The sequence below is a fragment of the Homo sapiens genome, chromosome 6 (assembly GCF_000001405.40).
Source record: "Homo sapiens chromosome 6, GRCh38.p14 Primary Assembly".
Classification (NCBI taxonomy): domain Eukaryota; kingdom Metazoa; phylum Chordata; class Mammalia; order Primates; family Hominidae; genus Homo; species Homo sapiens.
Window position 1 is genome coordinate 30,060,001 of NC_000006.12, and position 17,476 is coordinate 30,077,476.

The following is a 17,476-nucleotide window of genomic DNA, read 5'->3' on the forward strand; positions in this document are numbered from 1 at the left end:
GAGAATAAAAACTGTCTACGACAATCAGCTCAACAACACGTCTCCCTTTGTAAGACAGAATAACAAGCAATTTCACAGTTAAATGATAGGGCTTGTCACTCTTCAGCAGTTTGCTGAGTTTTAACCCTTTCACTATGGCGTTCTCTCCATTATTACAGAGAAAGGCAGATGGGAGCCTCTCCCAGCGAAAAGACTACAGCTTGTGTCCTTCATAGGAGAAAACAGTGATGGCTCCAGAACTTTTATATGAATGAACTTAGCACAGCTATCAGAGTGGATGGTGGTGGGAGGGCTAGCAGGAAACTAGTAAACAACTACAAGCTGCCCCTTCAGGGAAAGTTTCTACTTGGAATATAAGTTACAGATTAATGAAAATAGAAAGATTTCCCAAAGATACTTATTCTCATGTTTTATAAAAGATCAGGGAAATGTCAGCTGTCCACTTAACGGATGACATAATGAATTAAGAGTTCGATAGGCGGCAGGCACAACTAAAAGCCAAACTCGACCTAAGTCTTATGAAATCCTACTTAATGAGCTTTCTTGACTACTGCTAGCCTCACTTATCTGGCAGGAGTCGAAGGAGAGGAAGCCCCAAGCTCCTCTGTTCCACCACCTCCAAAGTCCTGAACCCCTTCTCAAGTGTACCACTTCATCCCTGCTTCCTTTCGTCCCGTGGGACTAAGCATTCCTCGGGCCTTCACTCTCACCACTTGCTGTCCCTCAAAAAGCCGACTCACCCCTTTCCAAGCGCAGTGAACCGTCCGCAAAGCACGAGGCCGGTTGCGAGCTGCAGAAAGCCCACGCTCGCCAGCGGGACCCAAGGAACGCTAGAACTATACGTCCCAGAACACTTAGCTTTGTTTTTAACTACGGTGCAGCCGCAAAAGGGAAATACCGGCTCAGGACCCAGGGGAGTTGTAGTTCTCTAATCCAAAGAAATCATTATTTGGCAACGTACGGTTTTCAGGGGGATATACCCCGCGACTGCGTTCCTGTAGGATGTGAGACAAAGAGAATAAATATCCCAGGATTGGGTGCTGGTGGGAAAATTTGCTGGAAGCGCAGCATTGGTTACCAATTTTGTGCTCAACCTCTCAGTACCAGGGTGAAAGTGGAGACGCAATCTCCCTTGGAAGACGTTAGTCTCCATCTCTAACGCTCCCGAGACACGGTTCGCAATTAATTATGACGTCACAGCCAATCGTCAACGCGAAAGCCTGACGCTCTAGCCGGCTCTATCTCGCTGCCCCGCCGCGGGCGCAGAGCTGGCGCTCTAGCCCACGGAGTTGGTTAACTCCTCTCACCGGCCCCTGGAAAGGGTTCCAAGTCCTTTAGTACCCGACGCTGTCTGGGAATTCCGGGCGTTTCGGCTCCTTGGTCGCAGAGGCAGGAGGCGTGCGTGGCAGGAGGGTTCGGGTTATATACTCCTAGGTCCTGGGACAGAATAGTTACGACCTCTGGGACAGGAACTCTTCTCTCTTTTGTTAATAAACTTCCAACTCCCTCCTCAGACCCGACCGCATGTCTGTCATGGACCTCGCCAATACTTGCTCCAGCTTTCAGTCGGACCTGGATTTCTGTTCAGATTGCGGCTCGGTCCTGCCTCTGCCCGGGGCTCAGGATACGGTCACCTGTATTCGCTGTGGCTTCAACATCAACGTTCGGGGTGAGAGGCTTGTACGCAGGGGTCCTGGCGGAGGGCGCAGGGTCGGAAGCTTGGGGAACTCAAGATCGGTTGGGTTGAGGAGGGGATCCTAGAGCAGGACATCAGGCGGTTGTACATTTGGTCTAGCGATGAAAACTGAGGGAAAGGATGTAGGGCCTCCTGGCCTAACCAGCCAGGGGAAAGGGGAGGTTTCCGGTGTCAGCTCTCTCTGGTTGTCTCCATAACCAGTTCTTACTTGCCTGTGCAGACTTTGAGGGGAAGGTTGTGAAGACTTCGGTTGTGTTCCACCAACTGGGGACAGCCATGCCTATGTCGGTGGAGGAAGGGCCTGAGTGCCAGGGACCTGTGGTAAGCTAATGAGATCAAGAACTGGCTCCATAAGGTGGGTAGGAAAGAAATGGAGGAGTGATTGCAAAGCTCTGGAGAGTTTTGTGCCCAATTCCAAGAGGGAAAAGAGATGTAAACCATCGACGTTTGAGAGGCGTGATCGCCTGATTCCTGTGGGAAGTAAGGGGATATGACCAGGCCTCCCTAACCCACCAGTTTCTTCCCAGGTTGACAGGCGCTGCCCTCGATGTGGTCATGAAGGAATGGCATACCACACCAGACAGATGCGTTCAGCCGATGAAGGGCAAACTGTCTTCTACACCTGTACCAACTGCAAGTGAGTATTCTTTCCCCTCCCTCTGCTCAGTCTGTTTGCTAACTAAACAAATCCAGTGATTTATTTTTTTGTACGAAATGGCCGTTTCCCTTGGTCCCATCCCTTATTTCTGTGCAGTTCTGGTAATAGGGAGATTTGTAGTTGTTTTTTATTTTTTTAAGTTACACTTTTTTAAACCTTTTTATAACCAGTGAAATAAACCTTTTAGGATTTTTTTTTTTTTTTTTTTTTTTTTTTGACAGGGTGTCGCTCTGTCACCTAGCCTGGAGTGCAGCGAGGCAATCTTGGCTCACTGCAACCTCCGCCTCCTGGGCTCAGGTAATCCTCCCACCTCAGCCTCCAAAGTAGCTGGGACCACAGACACATGCCACCACGCCTGGCTTTTTTTTTTTTTTTTTTTTTTTTTTTTTGTATTTTTAGTAGAGATGGGGTTTCTCTATGTTTCCCAGGCTGGTCTTGAACTTCTGAGCTCAAGTGATCCACCCACCTCAGCATCCCAAAGTGCTGGGATTACAGGCATGAGCCACCCCGCCTGACCTACTTTTAGGATATTTAAAAGGAAATGAAGAAAAAAAAAACAACATAAGAAGCAGGTATTGTTTAGTGGTCAGCATCTTATACTGCAGTCTTCAACCGCAGTCAAGGTAGCTTTCTTTGGAGAGAATTAGTCACACATGACTTAGAGAACATGGGCTTTCTGAATGCTTTTAAGACCTCATTTTTGTCTTTGGTGTTCTGCAGTCACTATAGTATATCAAAATACGATTTTCTTTTATTCTGTTTGGGATTTGTTGGACTTTCTGAAACTGAGAGTGGACTTTTTTTTCATCAACCTTGGAAAATTATCAGCCATCATCTCTTTTAATATTCTCTTTCCCCCATGTTCTCAGTCCTCACATTCTGGACCTCGAATTAGTTACTAGAAAGAGGTTTCTCTCTTCTGTCCTCCATTTCTCTCACCTTCTTTTCATATTTTCAATTGCTGTTCTCTTTATGCCACCTTCTGAGTAATTTCTTCAGGTCCCTCTTCCATGTCACTAATTCTGTCTTCAGTTTATTTCAAGTATTATTATTTTTTACTATTGTTATTATTTTGAGTTCTATTTAATTACTTTTCAAATCTCCTTAATTTTTAAATAATTATCAGTTCTTTAATCATATTTTAAATTGTTCCTTTTATTATTCTTTAAATATATATTTAAAATATTAAATATGGTTATTATATTCTATGTCTTATAATTCTGATATCTGCGGATTTTGTGTGTCTGATGCTGCTGTCTTTTGTTTCTGCTGTCTCTCTCATAGTGCTTTTTTTCTTTGTTTTGTGATTTTTGACTATAAATTCGAGTTTTTTAGAACTTGAACTGTAGGAATTCTTTGAGGCCTTGGGCGAGTGCTGTATTCTCAGCATTTGTGTTTCTTTTCTAGGTGCCTTGAAGCACTATCAAGCTGGAATTACTTTAAATAAATTCTTGGCTTCATGTTTTTTGGAGCAGACAGATAGTATGAATTTGAGCTGCAAATCCATGTAAGGGCTAGCTTACAGTTAGAAATTCTCAGGAGAGAGTTTTCTCTCTTTCTACCTACTGAGACAGTCAAATTCCCCTTCTATAGAGTTGAATTTTTTCTTTTCTTGTTCACTTTTACAAGAAAGGGCAGCCTTTTGCAGTTCCCAAATTTATGCACGGGATCTCCTATCAGACCTTATACATTTTGTCCCTCATTTCCTATGCTTCCAGTGACTGTCAAAACAGTATAAAGGGCACCATAGTGTCACTGTCACGTTTCATAGGGACATTAGTTTTAACTTCCCTGTCTGGATTTCTGGTTTTACAGAACTTTTAACCAGTGTGCAGATTGCCTTTACTTTCTTGCCATCTCATCAAAGGATTAAAAATATTCATAGTCAGATATATCTTTTAAAAGTATTTTTTTCCTATCACTGGTTGTCATTTTACCAAAAAAAAAAAAATTTTTTTTAAATAAAAAGAAGATTTTTTTTCCCAGCGTGTGGCTTGCCTATTTTCTTAACCCTCTTTAAATGAGCAGAAGTTTTAAGTTTTTATAAGGTTCAGCTTATCCTTTTTTTTTTCTTTTACAGCTAGTGCTTTCTGTGTCCTAAGAAATCTTTGCTTTGAGGTTATAACTCATTGGATATATTTTTAATCCCAGAATTTTTAGTTGTCTTGGAATTAGAATTGGAAGTTTGTTTAGGGGAGCCAGTCCTCAATGATGTCATAAATAAAAGTCCTTCCTTGATTATTTGATTGCATATCTTATCTTATACTACTAGAAACTCATCTTTTGGTGAATATAACAAGTCCTTTCTTTCCTCATAGGTTCCAGGAGAAGGAAGACTCTTGACCTTTTTCCTGGGCAACTCTACAGTCCCTCCCTCCTTTCGGAAGGTGAAGGATACTGGGTTTTTAGATGCCTTGTCCATCCTGTCTGGTTGCAATGTTTTGCTCCCAGAAGAGAATCAGATCATCATGTGGGGATTACCATTGTTCCTGGAGTACTCCTACCCTTAGTTGAATTTCCTTATTAAAGTTATATTTTTCTATAAGACCCTGACATATGTATGTTACTTATAATCTGTCTTATTCCAAAAGGAATTTAAATGAGTTTCCAGAGATATATTTATATGAAAAAGAAAAGGGGGAAAAATTAGGACAAAAAAGTAGAGTCAGGAATGAGGCTAATATAAACAAAAAGCAATTGTAAGTATTGCCATACTATTTAAATCTATTTGGTTCCTGAGTTTAGGTTAAGAAAAACTAGGAATTTGGATAGTGAGACATTTAACAGAAATTTTAACCAGATCTCTTTAGCATATAAATTTGGACAACAAAAAATCTGATACTAAGTAATGCCACTAAGTGATCACTATAGGTGAGTATTTTATTAGTATTGAGATAAATACAATACACAGTTGACCCTTGAACAACACAGGTTTGAACTGCTTGAGTCTACATATATGTGGATTTTCTTCTACTTCTGAGACCCATAAGATAGCAGCACATTTAAGCCCTCCTTTTCCTCCTCCTGAGCCTACTCAACATGAAAATGTGATCCACTTCTACTTAATGAATAGTAAATATATTTTCTTTTCCTTATGATTTTCTTAATAATGTTTTCTCTAGCTTACTTGATTGTAAGATTATATGTATTATAAGTATATAATACATATACAAAATATGTGTTAATCAACGGTTTATGTTATTGGTAAGGCATCTGGTCAACAGTAAAGTTTTGGGGGAGTCAAAAGTTATATATGGATTTTTGGCTGTTCAGAGGGTCAGCACCCCTTACCCCCATGTTGTTCAAGGATGAATTGTATATCTATTATAATAGATTCTTACATAGAAAGAAAGAAAAAAGTAAAGTCACAAGGAATCCTACTCCACAGAGATAACCAAATTATACTGTATATCTGTGCTTGTGTATATGTATGTGGCTCTGTATATGTGTGTTGCTATATATGTGTTTGGTTTTTTTAATGGACTAGACATGCTGAACTATATCTTGCTTTTTTCTGTTTGAACTAAAAACTTTCAAGGGGAACAAATGCATACTCAGGTCCCGCATTCCTTGGCTCAAATAGTGATCAAGGGGTTACTGTAATAATTATCATATAATTGTGTGGCCCTTTATATATATTCAGAGCTCTCAAACATAGCTATCTTGTTTGACCCCCACAGCAACCTGGAGAATGGGCAGGGCAGTCTTCCCCACTGTACGTTTGAACTGTTCTGGCAGTTGACTTTCCTGACCCACTCCTGAAATCTGAAACAAACCTGTTCATGTTTCTACCCTACTTTAAGCCTTTCTCTGGCCCATAACAGTGATTGGATTAAGCTTAATTTCTTAGCAAAGCATACAGGTTCTTCCATATAACCACTGCCTACCTGTCAAGCTTCATCTGGCACTCCCTCAGATCCAAGCGGTACAAAACTCCATTTCCTGTAGTGCACACATCTACAACTTTTTAAGCTGCTCTTCTAAAAAAACCTACTTGTCGGCCTTCCTGGTTCTTGTTTTACCACTTTCTTTTGCTCTCTAAGAAACGTGCATATATTTTTATAAAATAGCCTATACTGTAATTTACGACCATTTCTCTGCTTCATCCTACTCATCACCCCAGAGAGAACGAATATGTTGGCAGTATGTAACTACATTCAGATTTACAAATCAGACATGGCATTTGTTAATGCCCCAGTGTTTCATATTTTTGTTAGTTTTCAGCATGCCTGTCTTTCCTACTAGAGCTAAAAGGCAGGGTCTGAGCGTCTTACGCGCCTCCATCTTCAAGGCGTAGCACAGTGACTGAAAAAAACTGACGTTGAACGTGCACTAAACTGAACTGCTCAAACACCTACAGGCACAGGGCGAGGGGTAGAACCACATCGCTTGACTCTTAAGTGTGTTTCCAACTGCTCCCACTTCCCGTTTTCTTTAGAGAAACCCAGACCAAACAAGGAAAGGGAAATAGGCCACGGTAGGGTCATTACTATTGCTCCTTAAGCTTCCTCGCCGGTCCACCTACCCAGACAAGGCAAACGGAAATCTGCAGCAGGACTCAGCTTGGTGCACACAACTCCGCCCTCGCCACACCCACTCTGCAGCGTCTGGCCCGGCAATACCCATCTGGGCGCCCCTCCTGCTTCCTCTAGGCTGTGAGTACGCGTGCTGCCCCAGACTCTCCCTCCTCCACCCACACCCGCAGTGACACCCCTTCCGCCAAATTTGTTTCTCTTTCTTTCAGCGCCTGCGCGCTGTCACGTTACGGCGGAACTAATCCAGCGACGCCTGCGCTTTGACGCATTTGGTGCCGTGGAAGGGAAAAAGGGGGACTGCAGTATGCGTCACACCCGGAAGCGGCGAGCCGGAAGTGGGGTTAGCCAGGTTATCCCCAGGGGTGGAGAAGCGGAGGCCCAGGAGGAGGGGGAATAAAGAAGGTGGAGGATCCTGGCTACCACTCTGAATCCGATACCGCTTCTCTTAGACCTCAGCGACAGAAAAAGGGAAGGGTGTCTCATCCCCCTTCCTCCTCTCCTCCCTGTCCTGAGCCTTAGCCATGGCCGAGGCAGGGGCTGGGCTGAGCGAGACCGTCACTGAGACAACGGTTACCGTGACAACCGAGCCCGTGAGAAAGGCGGGGGGGCGGTGCTGTTTAGGGGTCTGGGAGATACTGGGAGGGAGGGGACAGGGATTAGAAGAGTTGTTGGAGGAGCTAGGCCTAGGGATATGGGAGGTGTGGGGTTGAATATCTAGGGCTGGGAGAATCGGAAGGTATTGGAGCTATTTGGAGTGGCAGAGATGGTGCAGGAGGCAGGTCAAGGAACTTGTAATAGGGAGGTACAGTTAGGATATAGGTGTTGCTGCTTGGGGTGGTTATGTGTGTAAGTAATAAACGAAAGGGAAATTGAGGATTAAGGAGCCAGGAAGATGTTGGGAGGAAATCAAAGGTAGTGTAAGAAAGCATGGTTGGAGGCCAACTTATCAATATTATCAATATTGATATTCGAATAAATATTTATTGAATGGATGAATGTAAAAGGAAGTGGCAGGAATGAGGAAACAAGAAAAGGAGATGAAAAGAGGTATTTTGAGAAATCAGAGAGCAAAGATGTAAATGGAGAAACAAGAAGTATTTATCCAAAAACATGTTAAGTTGCCTTCAAAGGGAGAAGGTTGCATTGGGCTTAATACTCTTGGATTAAAGGAAGTTTAGTAATTAATAGATTAGTAATACTTGCTACTAGAGATGCCAGGATGCCAGAGAATAGGTGGATAAGAGGTAGGGAGGGCTGGAGCTTGAGAATGAGAGAGGTTTTGTTTGTTTTTTTAAGAGAAAAAGAATAGGGGATCTGGAAAAAGGAAGGGAGATCAAAGATTAGGTGCTGGGGACTGAAAAATAATTTTCATGTATTAATACTACCAAGGATGATTTGGGGAGGAAGACGGAGAAACAGCAAGGATTATATTTTCCTTTGAAGAGTTGCTGGGACCTTTCCTAGGTTAGGAATTGTGTCTTCTCTTATACTGGTGGTATAAGAACAGGAAATAATACTTATTCCTCAAGGGACTATCTGAGGTAAAAGACCTGTTCTGTTTTATCTTCTGTCAGCTCCTCTGGTGCTATGCCTATGGTACTGATTGAGCTAAAGAAGAAAAGAGAGGAGGTTCCCTGGGAGGGAGTGGGAAAGGTTAGTAAGAGGGGACTAGATAGGTATGCTCATCCTTAACCTTCTAGGAGAACCGGAGCCTTACCATCAAACTTCGGAAACGGAAGCCAGAGAAAAAGGTAGAATGGACAAGTGACACTGTGGACAATGAACACATGGGCCGCCGCTCATCCAAATGTGAGTAATTGTTGGCCCGCAGTAGCCCTGGAGTTCTGGCTCCCTTCAGCATATCTTGTATCTACTCATATCCACTGGCTTTCCAGAAGCCCCCAGATGTTCATAGTTCTGTCACTTTTTTGGTGGTGCTGTGGTATCAGGGAAAGAGGTAGGGAAGGGCTAGAACTGGAATTGCCTAGGTCTGACAGCAAGAAGTGTCAGAGGTGGGAGAAGTGGGGCTTTGAATTCGTGGCTCTCTAAGAGGACAAGAGGGGTGGGGCCTGAGTCCCAGAGGGTGGGCCTGGGGAAGCTGGATCCTGGAAGGTAGGAGAAAATAGGAATTTTCACTGAGTTTGAGTGGGAATGGAACTGACTATATATCTTACCCTTCCTCCTCTTTAACTGGGCTCCTCCCTCTAAATCTAGGCTGCTGTATTTATGAGAAACCTCGGGCCTTTGGCGAGAGCTCCACGGAAAGTGATGAGGAGGAAGAAGAGGGCTGTGGTCATACACACTGTGTACGTGGCCACCGCAAAGGACGGCGTCGTGCAACCCTAGGACCGACCCCCACCACCCCTCCCCAGCCTCCTGACCCTTCCCAGCCCCCTCCAGGGCCAATGCAGCACTAAATCCCTCTCTCCTCCAGCATTCCTGTGTCTGTCTGGCCCTAAATGTATCCATGTGGCTACTTCTCCAGCCCCCTCCTTCCCTCTCTTCTGCCTGATAGAGGGAAGAGGAAGAGGAGGACGAACAGAGATCCTGAAATTCTGACTTGCTGCTATTCCAGAACCCAGCCTCCTGGGTTTCCCCAGTCCTCATTTTTCCTCCCAATACCCACCCTTCTCTCTCGAGGGATCTAGGCACCTTGGTCCCAGTGTCTTCCTTTTGTTCTCACTGCCAAACTGCCTGTCCTGGGATCTAGTTATCTTGGCCCTGCACTCTCAACATGAGTAGCGAACACTTAAATTGGGTTTTCAACAGTCCCAGCTTTCACTGCCAGGGTCCCAGTCAGATTCCAGGAATTTGCGCCCTAACTTTGCTTGCTAATCCTGGTTTAGAGCTATCCCACTAAAATATTTAATCCTAATTCTTAGTCCTTGCCTGTGAGATATGAGGTCTTACAGGAGACCTCAGAGCTCCCAGCCCTTCTCCTCCTGCTAACCCTTCTCACACCCTCAAGAGGAGTTAGAAAAGAGGTCCTTGTCATTCTCACCTCTTATGGAAAATGGAATAAGAAATAATCATATCCTTTCTTCCCACCCTTCTCCTGTTATTTAGGATTTCTGACAAAGCTGGCTTGAGATTGGTCACTTAGAGCCGACTGTCTCCTCTGCCTTTTGTTTTTCAGCTTCAGAGACAGATCCAATATAGTCCCAGGGACCTGGGTCTCTGGGAGAGGAAGGAAGAGGGAGGGAGCAAAGAGATTGGGGTATGTCCCCTGTAGTACACTCTTACCTCTTACTTCCTAGACTTTGATTTCTCCGGCAGCCCAGATGTTCAGTTCTCTTGGCCCCTCTCTACCCCTTACTGGGATCCGGTTTTCATTTTCCGGTCCTTTTGCCATACACAGTTACAGAGATCAGTCAAATCCATACCACCACTGAGATCTCATTTATTGCCACAGATGCACAAAATAAATAACCCAAAATCACAAAATGTGTTAAATATGGGCCCATTTATACTTATGGGGAAGGGTGTGAGACTATACACAAGGATGAGTTTGGAGATGTCTGAAGTATTCCCAGGTTGAGGAGGAGAGAGGGGAAATAGCACCATTGGTTCCTTTCCGTGAGTATGTGCGGGGAGAAGTTTCAAGAAGGTTCTTATGGAAAAAAGGCTGTGAGCATAGAAAGCAGTCATAGGAGGTTGGGGAACTAGCTTGTCCCTCCCCACCCCCAGATCCTGCAAAAGAGGTACAAAGCTTCCCAGAGGGCCACAGGGCCCAGACCAGAGTCAAGCCTCTTGTTTTAGGAGAAACCTCAGTGGACAGGCAGGGTAGCCCAGTCCTTAGATCTGTGGGGAAGGCCCTGAGCCCTTCTGGAGCTAGGAGTGGCAAGAGTGGGAGTCAAGTATTTGACCAGCAGAGCCTCTATGTAGGAATCATGGTCACTTTACCAATACTGATGGGGAGGGCCTGTTCCCCATTGCAGGCCTAGAATGGTTTGAATGGGAGAAGTCAGGAAGTACTGTAGTAGCTGTAGGGGAGAGAAGATTCTGAGAGCCAGAAGGCAGGAATGGATTTGGTTTTGAGCAGGGACGTGGAAACGTGGAGACCAGGTGAGGTCTCATTATTTTGGGGCGAAAATGTGGGTTGCTATTAATACTCCTGCAATGGGCGTGTGAATGTGTTCCCAGAAATGAGTGGGGAATTCCACCCCCAAAAAGCAGCTGCAGGGCCAGTGGCCGGGCCAAACTTCTAGTTGGAGACGAGACTCAGCTTTCCGCTGGTACAATGCGGAGCGGAGCACGAGGGTCGCAGGTGCAGAACAGCGGGAAGATGCGCTCCCCCAGGGGGCCAGGCGCCTGGAAGGCGTAAAGCAGGTCGAGTGAGCGGCCGTCGTAGAAGGCCACGCGGCCCCGCTCCCAGTCCAGGTCCACGCGAATGCGCCGCGGCGGGGGCTCAACACCGCCCAGCAGGGTGGGTTCGGGTGCCGTGAGGGCCCACAGGCGGCCGCCGCGGCCCTCCACGGCCCACACGGCCCCCGCAGGGCACAGCCTTACGCAGCCCTTGCGTTGCACTGATTCCCCGGCCGCGCCCACTGCATAGTGGCTCTCCTCGTCGTCCGCATCCTCCCCAGAAGAGTCTCTGCAGGAGGCGGCGTCCGCAGTCTCCACCTCCCAGCAGTGGCGGCCGGCCCCGAAGCCCTGCGCACCCAGCACAGCTGGGAGCTGATCGAAGCGCTTGGGGCCGTCAGGGGGCGCGGGCGTCCCTGGTGGGGCCAGTTGTACGCTGCGGCGGTCGGCGGAGATGAGCAGGCGGCGGTGTGCGGTCCCAGGGTCCAGGGTCAGGTCGGCTGGAGACGGGGAGGCAGGGAGAGGACCTCATGAGAGAGTTTTCTAAATCACAGGCGGGGTAGGGTGGAGAATAGTCAACGAAGATCACGTAAAAGACTGAGAGCTAGTGACCACACAACAGCTCAAAAGGCGACTGCAGGACCAAAAAGAAGGAAGGCATATGAAGAGCAGACCTGGGCAATATCAGACCTTGTACTGATGCACCACTTCTGTAGAATTGGACCTGGGGAAGGATCATACTGGCCCAGTGCAGGGAGCACAGCAGGAAGATCAAATGAGAGGTTGTCTCGTTTGTGGGGTTGGGGGAGGAAGAGTGAGGCTGATCTGACTTCGAGGGAGGAGTAAGGACTGATACCTCAATCTGCATCATCTGGGGTGGGGCATGGGAGCTGGGTCAGCAAAATGGGGAAGGTTCATCTAAAGAGAAAGTCGTACTGATACTGGAACCTCAAGTAATGGGAGGGGCACAGGGAGGAATCCAAGGTATCCTGAGAAACCAGCCCACCCACCCACAGGAATTGGGGGGTGGGGTGGACAGTCCTATTTCTGTAGGGGTTGTGGGGCAGAGGAGGAGAGCAGGTGGTGATAGCCAGAGACCAGAAAAAGAACCATTGGCCTTATATGTATGGGGTGCTTTGAAGAAAAATTTCTGGATTAGGGGTGTCAGAAGCAATCTGGACTGGGCAAGATGGTGGATGACCAAGATGGTGGACCACCTTCTCTAGGCAGTTTAAAGAAGGGTAGAGGCACCCTTCTTCTTGGGAGTGAGTGAGGAAAGAAGGGTCAAGGAGATGCTGGGGTCCCCTTCCAGGGAGGAGTGACGAGAGGTGGTGGAAGCAGAGATTTTTGAGAGGCACCTAACCTTCAGGGATCTGTTGTTTGAATGTATGAAAAAGGAAGAGGGAAAATGGCTGGAATATGAGGAATCGAGGATAGACATTGTTATAGGCTGAACTGTGCCCTCCCCCACTCCACACACACACACAAAGATAGGTTGAAGTCCTCCAAACCTCAGAATGTTACCTTGTTTTGAAACAGGATCTTTACATAGGTAATCAAGTTAAAATGAAGGTCATTAGGGTGGGCTCTAATCCAGATTGCTGACTTACAAAAAGAGGAAATTTGGACACAGAGACAAATGCATACAAAAGAAAATGTGCAGACCTATCACCCAAAGAACATGTGAGGCTACCAGAGGCTAGGAGACAGGCATGGAACAGATTCTGTCTCATGGCCGTCAGAAGGAACCAACACTGCTGACACCTTGATTTCAGACTTCTACCTCCTGAACTTTGAGATAAATGTCTGTTGTTTCAGCCACCTACTTTGCGGTGCTTCATTAGAGCAGTACTAGGAAACTAATGCAGACATCAAAAAGGACCTGATCACTTTTTAGGGCTAAAAGGAAGAAAATCTAACACAGACTTTCATTCAATTCCCTTCCCTCCCTTCTTCTTTCCTTACCTGTCAGTCTATGAAGCATTTTTTTGACCACTGGATAATCTTCAGGGAGATCATCCTCTGAATTAGATGACTTGGATGTTGGGACTTCAAATCTACACAGATGAGGGGAAGGGTCAGGAAATCAGCCCTCTGATCCTAATGCCCCCACGCATACCCCACTCACATCTCTGGAGGAAGAAGGGATGAGACTATACCCCAGAAAACCTGCCTATTAATGGGAACAAAGGTGTGGGCCCAGTGAGAACGTGATGGCTATGGCAGCTGGTGAGAAAAGGAGGGAACAGAAAAGTGGAACTCACCGTCTCCATGTCTTCCTCATATCCTAGGATGGGCAGAAACAAACATGGATGTGAGCTCTGGGCTTCATTCCCTGGGGCATCCTTCCCTATCTCTCCCCTCCTCAGGTGAGTTCTGTCTGAGTTAGCAGTGTCCCTCCTCACCTTTCAGAGTGATCTCACCTCTTTACACACTGTGCTCCTTTCCCTCTCATTCTCCTCCTTCACCTTTCATGATCCCTCCTTCCTCTCACCCCATCACTTTTCCCTCATCCTCCTAACTCCATCCCCACTGTCCTCCCCCTTTCCACTCCCCAAGGGTTCTCAATTCTCTTTTCCCAGGCTCGTCCGTGACTGTTTCTTGTCCTCAGAGCCCTTGCCTTCCTTGCTGCCTCCTCAGTCCCATTCTCTGTCTCTTTCAGCGGCCCCATCCTTATCTACCTTCCCCAGTGCATCCCAGAAAAACATCTGTCCCTTCCTCCCTCCATCACACAGACCAAACACACACCCAGAGCCCTCGGGCTAAGAGTTGGTATATAAAAGCCTTACAATAAAGCTGCTTCCCCTCTTGCAATAAAAGCCCAGTGGCATTTATTGGGCCCTTTGCTTTGTGTCTCTGGACCCTGGCCAGGGAGGCAGCTAGACTTGAATGTGTCCCAAAAGGCCCAGCAGATCCACAGAGTACTATGGGAGCCAGGAGAGGGCACTGGATGCTCCCCTCCAAACACTGGGATACCGACCCCTCCACTTCACTGTCTAGTGCTGATGGCTGGAGCAGGCCGATATGGTGGAGCGGGGGAGAGAGAAACAATTTGCATAATTGTGCCAATTACTTTCAGACTAATTAGGTCTATGAAGACTTCAAAGGGCAGAAGCAAGACCCAAGACCAGCTTGGCTGCTGGGAAGAAGCCAGTCAGGAGTCCCAGACGCCCAGGGGTCGGTCGGGCAAGGGAATGGGCTGGTTAGTGGCCAAGGAGCCGGGGCCCAGGAGAGGCGCGGGGGGTAGATGGGTGGTAAGACTGGGATGTGGAGAGGAGCCAGAGGCCCCAGCGGCTGTTCTCCCGCACCTCGCCTCCACCCCTGGCCGCTCCTGCCTGGGGCCTTGGGAGGAGCCGAAATAACAATAACAAACAACACAGGGCTTAGCTTGAGCCAGAGTCCGAGACCAACCCCCACGACGCTACGGGGAGGTTTGGATATGCCCCAACCCCTTGCTCCCTTCCTCCATCCTCTTGTCAGTCCCCTCCTCCCCAGCTTTTTCTCCGCCCCCAACCCACCAGCCCAGCCTCCTGCTCCCGCTCCTCTAAGCAGGTTCTGCCCTCGCCCACCATCCTCCCAGGACCCCTCCTCACCCTCAGCTGGGTCGGCTCTCCCTTCCGCCCGCCGCTCCCTCCCCTCCGCCAGCTCTCCTCCTCCCGGGCGCCTGCGGCTGCCCTGCCAAAACTTCTGCAGTTCCCATGCCCTTCGCGGCGACTCCAGGGCTCTCCGCGTTCTATCCGGTACCCCTTCTCTGCCTCCCCAGTCTCTTCTCTCCAGCCCCTCTCACAAGGCTCAGGCATCGGTCCAGCCTCCTCCCCTGTGGACCAAGTGTCAACTCCATCCATCGTCCTTCCGGGCGCCTCTCACCTTGAGGACCCAGGGTCCTCGCCCCCTCATCCTTTGCTTTTCTCTCCCCACCCCATCCTTTGCCTAAACTTCCACAGGGCCTCCGGCTCCAGACGTGCCATTCCCGGCTTCCCCGGGAACCTCCCGCTTCCACCAACAACTCCGCGACGCGCGCCCAGCCTCACCTCTCCGGGCAGGTCCAGGCAGCCCATGGTGGGGATGCGCCCCCCTCGGCGTCTCCCCGCACGGGCCCCAGGCTCAGCCAGCTTCTCTCGCAGCTCGCGGCTGATTCGCACCTCCACCGCCAGCCGCACATTAGACCTCAGGCTGCGGCGGGGACACGGCAGGCCGCAGCAGGGACAGGCGGTGGGGGAAGCCTCGGTGCCGGTCGCCGGCGGAGTCCCCCAGCGGCGGGCCAGACACGCGCGGCAGAAGCTGTGCTCGCACGCCAGAAGCACCGGGTCCTCGAAGGAGCCCCCGCACAGAGGACACGTCGCCAGCTGCTCCAGACGCTCCACCAGCCCCGGGCCCAGCTCGGGCGCATCCATGGAAAGCCAGGATCTGGACGCCGCCCCTTCCGCGACCACCGTGACCGCCTTCGAGCGCGCAGATGGCGGGCCGCCCCTGCTGCTTGCTGTGTAGATGCCCTTCTCTCCGACTCCCGCATTAACTTTTGCCGCTTTCCGCCCCTCTCCTGGGATTGCCTCTCTCTTCAACCAGAGTCTCAGTCTCGTCAAATCTCTCCACCACATCAGGCTTTATAGGGAGGGAGGAGGCTCCCACGGGAGGTAAACACCAGGCCTTGCGTAACGCCTCATCTGGTTCTCCTGCTTCCCGGGTAAGGTTTGGGGGAGCAGGGAGGGGAGAATAGCACACCTGGTTCCCAGAGCCTAGGAGGCGGTCACTAGAGGGCGCTCTGGGGCGGGGTAGCCCTGTGTGGGGAGGGTAGCCCCCTGTGACCCCCCGAAGAGCCCCAATTTTACCTTCCCCTCCGCCTGTGGTACGCGCATGGGCCGGGTGCCCAGGCTCACTCTTGGCATGTGCGCCCACATTGCCAAGGTGCGAGTCATTCCAGGTGGCTGGCACACCTACATCTGGGGGCTGGGGGCCGGAAGCACAGATCCTGGTTTGTGTGGCTTTGGCAAGCCTCTGAGTGTTGATGTGTGGTTTTCATTCCTGGTGCCTCTCGCCTTTCCATCTTCCTTCCTTACCTATTAAGGGCTTAAGGGCATTCTGCAGCTCTGGGGTAAGGGGTGGGGAGCAGGCGCCCACACTTCGGCCTCAGGGAGTCGGGGCAGAGCTCTTTCAGCTCTACCTCTGGCCAGCTCCCAGGGCCTCTCCTTACTTTCTTCGTAAGTCTCTCTTTCTGGTTCTTTCTCTCTGTTTTTCCCCGTGTGTGATTTTATTACCAGTTTTCTCTTTCCTTCCTTCTTTGGAATGTACCCGGTATTATCTATTTCAACTCTGGTAGTTCACAGAGGCCCAGAGAACTGGAATAGCCAAGGTCACATAGCAAGGGAATGACCAGAAGTGGAGCCCTACCCTGGTCTTCTGACTTGTGTTCTTGCTGTGAGTCAACCCTGCCTTTTTCAGTTGCAGATCCCTGGGACCCCCTCCTGCTTCCTGATTTTTTTCTGGTGTTCCTTTGTGCCTTCATTCCTCACCTCCATTCTCTCTTTTTCTCCTTACCTGCTCCTCTCCCCACCTCTCCTCTTCCTCCCTGCTCCCTCCTCTTCCTAGCTTCTCTACCCTTCCAATGCCAGGCCTAGCTAACTGGATACTCATGGGGGTTTGTGCATAAGTAAACATCCAGATGTCTACAACTATGATCACCCACACTGTTATATAACATGTGTCTGCATCCATCAGTGTCCAAATGCCCAAATGTGCACAAACTTGCAGACAGAAGCATTCATGTAATACAAACATCACAGCTAAATATAATGTGTATGAATAGCCTCATATGCATTGAATATCACTGGGATAAATGTCCAGTATTATTTAGGAACAGACGGACATGCTCAAAGAAAACAGGCAAAGAGACAGATACTCTATCATCAGTTTTATTATTAATAAGAATAACAGTATAACAGCAGTAAGTCTTTATGGAGCAGCAGGACTTTATTAGGCACCCCCTCCAGGCACTCTTCTTCTGCCTCCCCCATACTTATCGGGGAGACACTCAAATATGACACCCTGATAAACAAACCTACACAAACAAACACACGTACATTCATCTTGGAACAACCCTCCCGGCTCAGTGCTCATAAAACACACAGATACCCAAGCATAAGACTACAGTTGTGACTGAAATCTATTTTGTAAAAGATGCACTTCTATGCTCTGATAGGTAGCATAGAGAGATAGCAGCATGAGAAGTGATCGGCCTGACATTGCTGGCTTTGGAGACTGAGGCAGGAAGCCACAAGCTAAGGAAGT

At 48.4% G+C, this 17,476-nt stretch overlaps 3 protein-coding genes and 1 pseudogene across 15 annotated transcripts in view, besides 4 other annotated features; 2 read left to right on the forward strand and 2 right to left on the reverse strand.

Moving 5' to 3' along the window:
* The window catches only part of POLR1HASP (POLR1H antisense, pseudogene), a 60,179-nt pseudogene extending 58,990 nt beyond the window's left edge, over positions 1–1,189 (reverse strand). For 2 of the 3 annotated variants that reach the window (NR_026751.2, NR_145416.1), the window contains exons 1-2: positions 1,079–1,189; positions 741–995 (exon numbers count right to left, since the gene is read on the reverse strand). The product of NR_026751.2 is annotated as a POLR1H antisense, pseudogene, transcript variant 1 (transcript). The remainder of the gene's footprint in view (positions 1–740; positions 996–1,078) is intronic. The other variant, NR_145418.1, reaches the window with a different exon arrangement.
* Positions 62–4,907, forward strand: POLR1H (RNA polymerase I subunit H). 6 transcript variants are annotated; one of them, XM_047418695.1, is made up of 5 exons: positions 62–77; positions 1,515–1,669; positions 1,917–2,017; positions 2,224–2,333; positions 4,673–4,907. In XM_047418695.1, exons 2-5 carry the CDS (start codon positions 1,525–1,527, stop codon positions 4,695–4,697), a joined length of 381 nt encoding a protein of 126 aa, XP_047274651.1. In that variant the 5' UTR covers positions 62–77; positions 1,515–1,524; the 3' UTR covers positions 4,698–4,907. The 6 variants fall into 6 exon arrangements, 5 of the variants coding, with proteins under 5 accessions (XP_047274651.1, NP_001265715.1, NP_055411.1 ...); NM_001278786.2 differs by lacking the exon at positions 62–77 and adding an exon at positions 1,265–1,413; NM_014596.6 differs by lacking the exon at positions 62–77 and adding an exon at positions 1,265–1,398.
* Positions 292–1,158: an enhancer, noted in NCBI's record as "H3K27ac hESC enhancer chr6:30028069-30028935 (GRCh37/hg19 assembly coordinates)". NCBI's record gives its function as "activates a minimal SCP1, AML or CMV promoter by ChIP-STARR-seq in naive H9 embryonic stem cells {active_cell/tissue: H9 hESC(naive)}" and the evidence as "EXISTENCE:reporter gene assay evidence [ECO:0000049][PMID:30033119]".
* Positions 1,159–2,024: an enhancer, noted in NCBI's record as "H3K27ac hESC enhancer chr6:30028936-30029801 (GRCh37/hg19 assembly coordinates)". NCBI's record gives its function as "activates a minimal SCP1, AML or CMV promoter by ChIP-STARR-seq in primed H9 embryonic stem cells {active_cell/tissue: H9 hESC(primed)}" and the evidence as "EXISTENCE:reporter gene assay evidence [ECO:0000049][PMID:30033119]".
* On the forward strand, positions 1,265–10,333 carry PPP1R11 (protein phosphatase 1 regulatory inhibitor subunit 11). Of its 3 annotated transcripts, XM_047419280.1 has the most exons (5): positions 1,265–1,349; positions 6,859–7,009; positions 7,099–7,479; positions 8,590–8,698; positions 9,104–10,333. In XM_047419280.1, exons 3-5 carry the CDS (start codon positions 7,411–7,413, stop codon positions 9,304–9,306), a joined length of 381 nt encoding a protein of 126 aa, XP_047275236.1. In that variant the 5' UTR covers positions 1,265–1,349; positions 6,859–7,009; positions 7,099–7,410; the 3' UTR covers positions 9,307–10,333. The 3 variants fall into 3 exon arrangements, with proteins under 3 accessions (XP_047275236.1, XP_047275235.1, NP_068778.1); XM_047419279.1 differs by having other exon boundaries at positions 6,859–7,479; NM_021959.3 differs by lacking the exons at positions 1,265–1,349; positions 6,859–7,009 and having other exon boundaries at positions 7,198–7,479.
* On the reverse strand, positions 10,270–15,769 carry RNF39 (ring finger protein 39). Of its 3 annotated transcripts, NM_170769.3 has the most exons (5): positions 15,223–15,769; positions 13,456–13,478; positions 13,157–13,248; positions 11,399–11,691; positions 10,270–11,200 (listed from the first exon to the last, which is right to left on the reverse strand). In NM_170769.3, the coding sequence occupies exons 1-5, from the start codon at positions 15,583–15,585 to the stop codon at positions 11,111–11,113; spliced, it is 861 nt and encodes a 286-aa protein (NP_739575.3). In that variant the 5' UTR covers positions 15,586–15,769; the 3' UTR covers positions 10,270–11,110. The 3 variants fall into 3 exon arrangements, with proteins under 3 accessions (NP_739575.3, NP_079512.3, XP_016866814.1); NM_025236.4 differs by having other exon boundaries at positions 10,270–11,691; XM_017011325.2 differs by lacking the exon at positions 13,456–13,478 and having other exon boundaries at positions 10,270–11,691.
* Positions 13,870–14,545: an enhancer, noted in NCBI's record as "H3K4me1 hESC enhancer chr6:30041647-30042322 (GRCh37/hg19 assembly coordinates)". NCBI's record gives its function as "activates a minimal SCP1, AML or CMV promoter by ChIP-STARR-seq in naive H9 embryonic stem cells {active_cell/tissue: H9 hESC(naive)}" and the evidence as "EXISTENCE:reporter gene assay evidence [ECO:0000049][PMID:30033119]".
* Positions 14,546–15,219: an enhancer, noted in NCBI's record as "H3K27ac-H3K4me1 hESC enhancer chr6:30042323-30042996 (GRCh37/hg19 assembly coordinates)". NCBI's record gives its function as "activates a minimal SCP1, AML or CMV promoter by ChIP-STARR-seq in naive H9 embryonic stem cells {active_cell/tissue: H9 hESC(naive)}" and the evidence as "EXISTENCE:reporter gene assay evidence [ECO:0000049][PMID:30033119]".
* Positions 15,770–17,476: the final 1,707 nt, after the last annotated feature.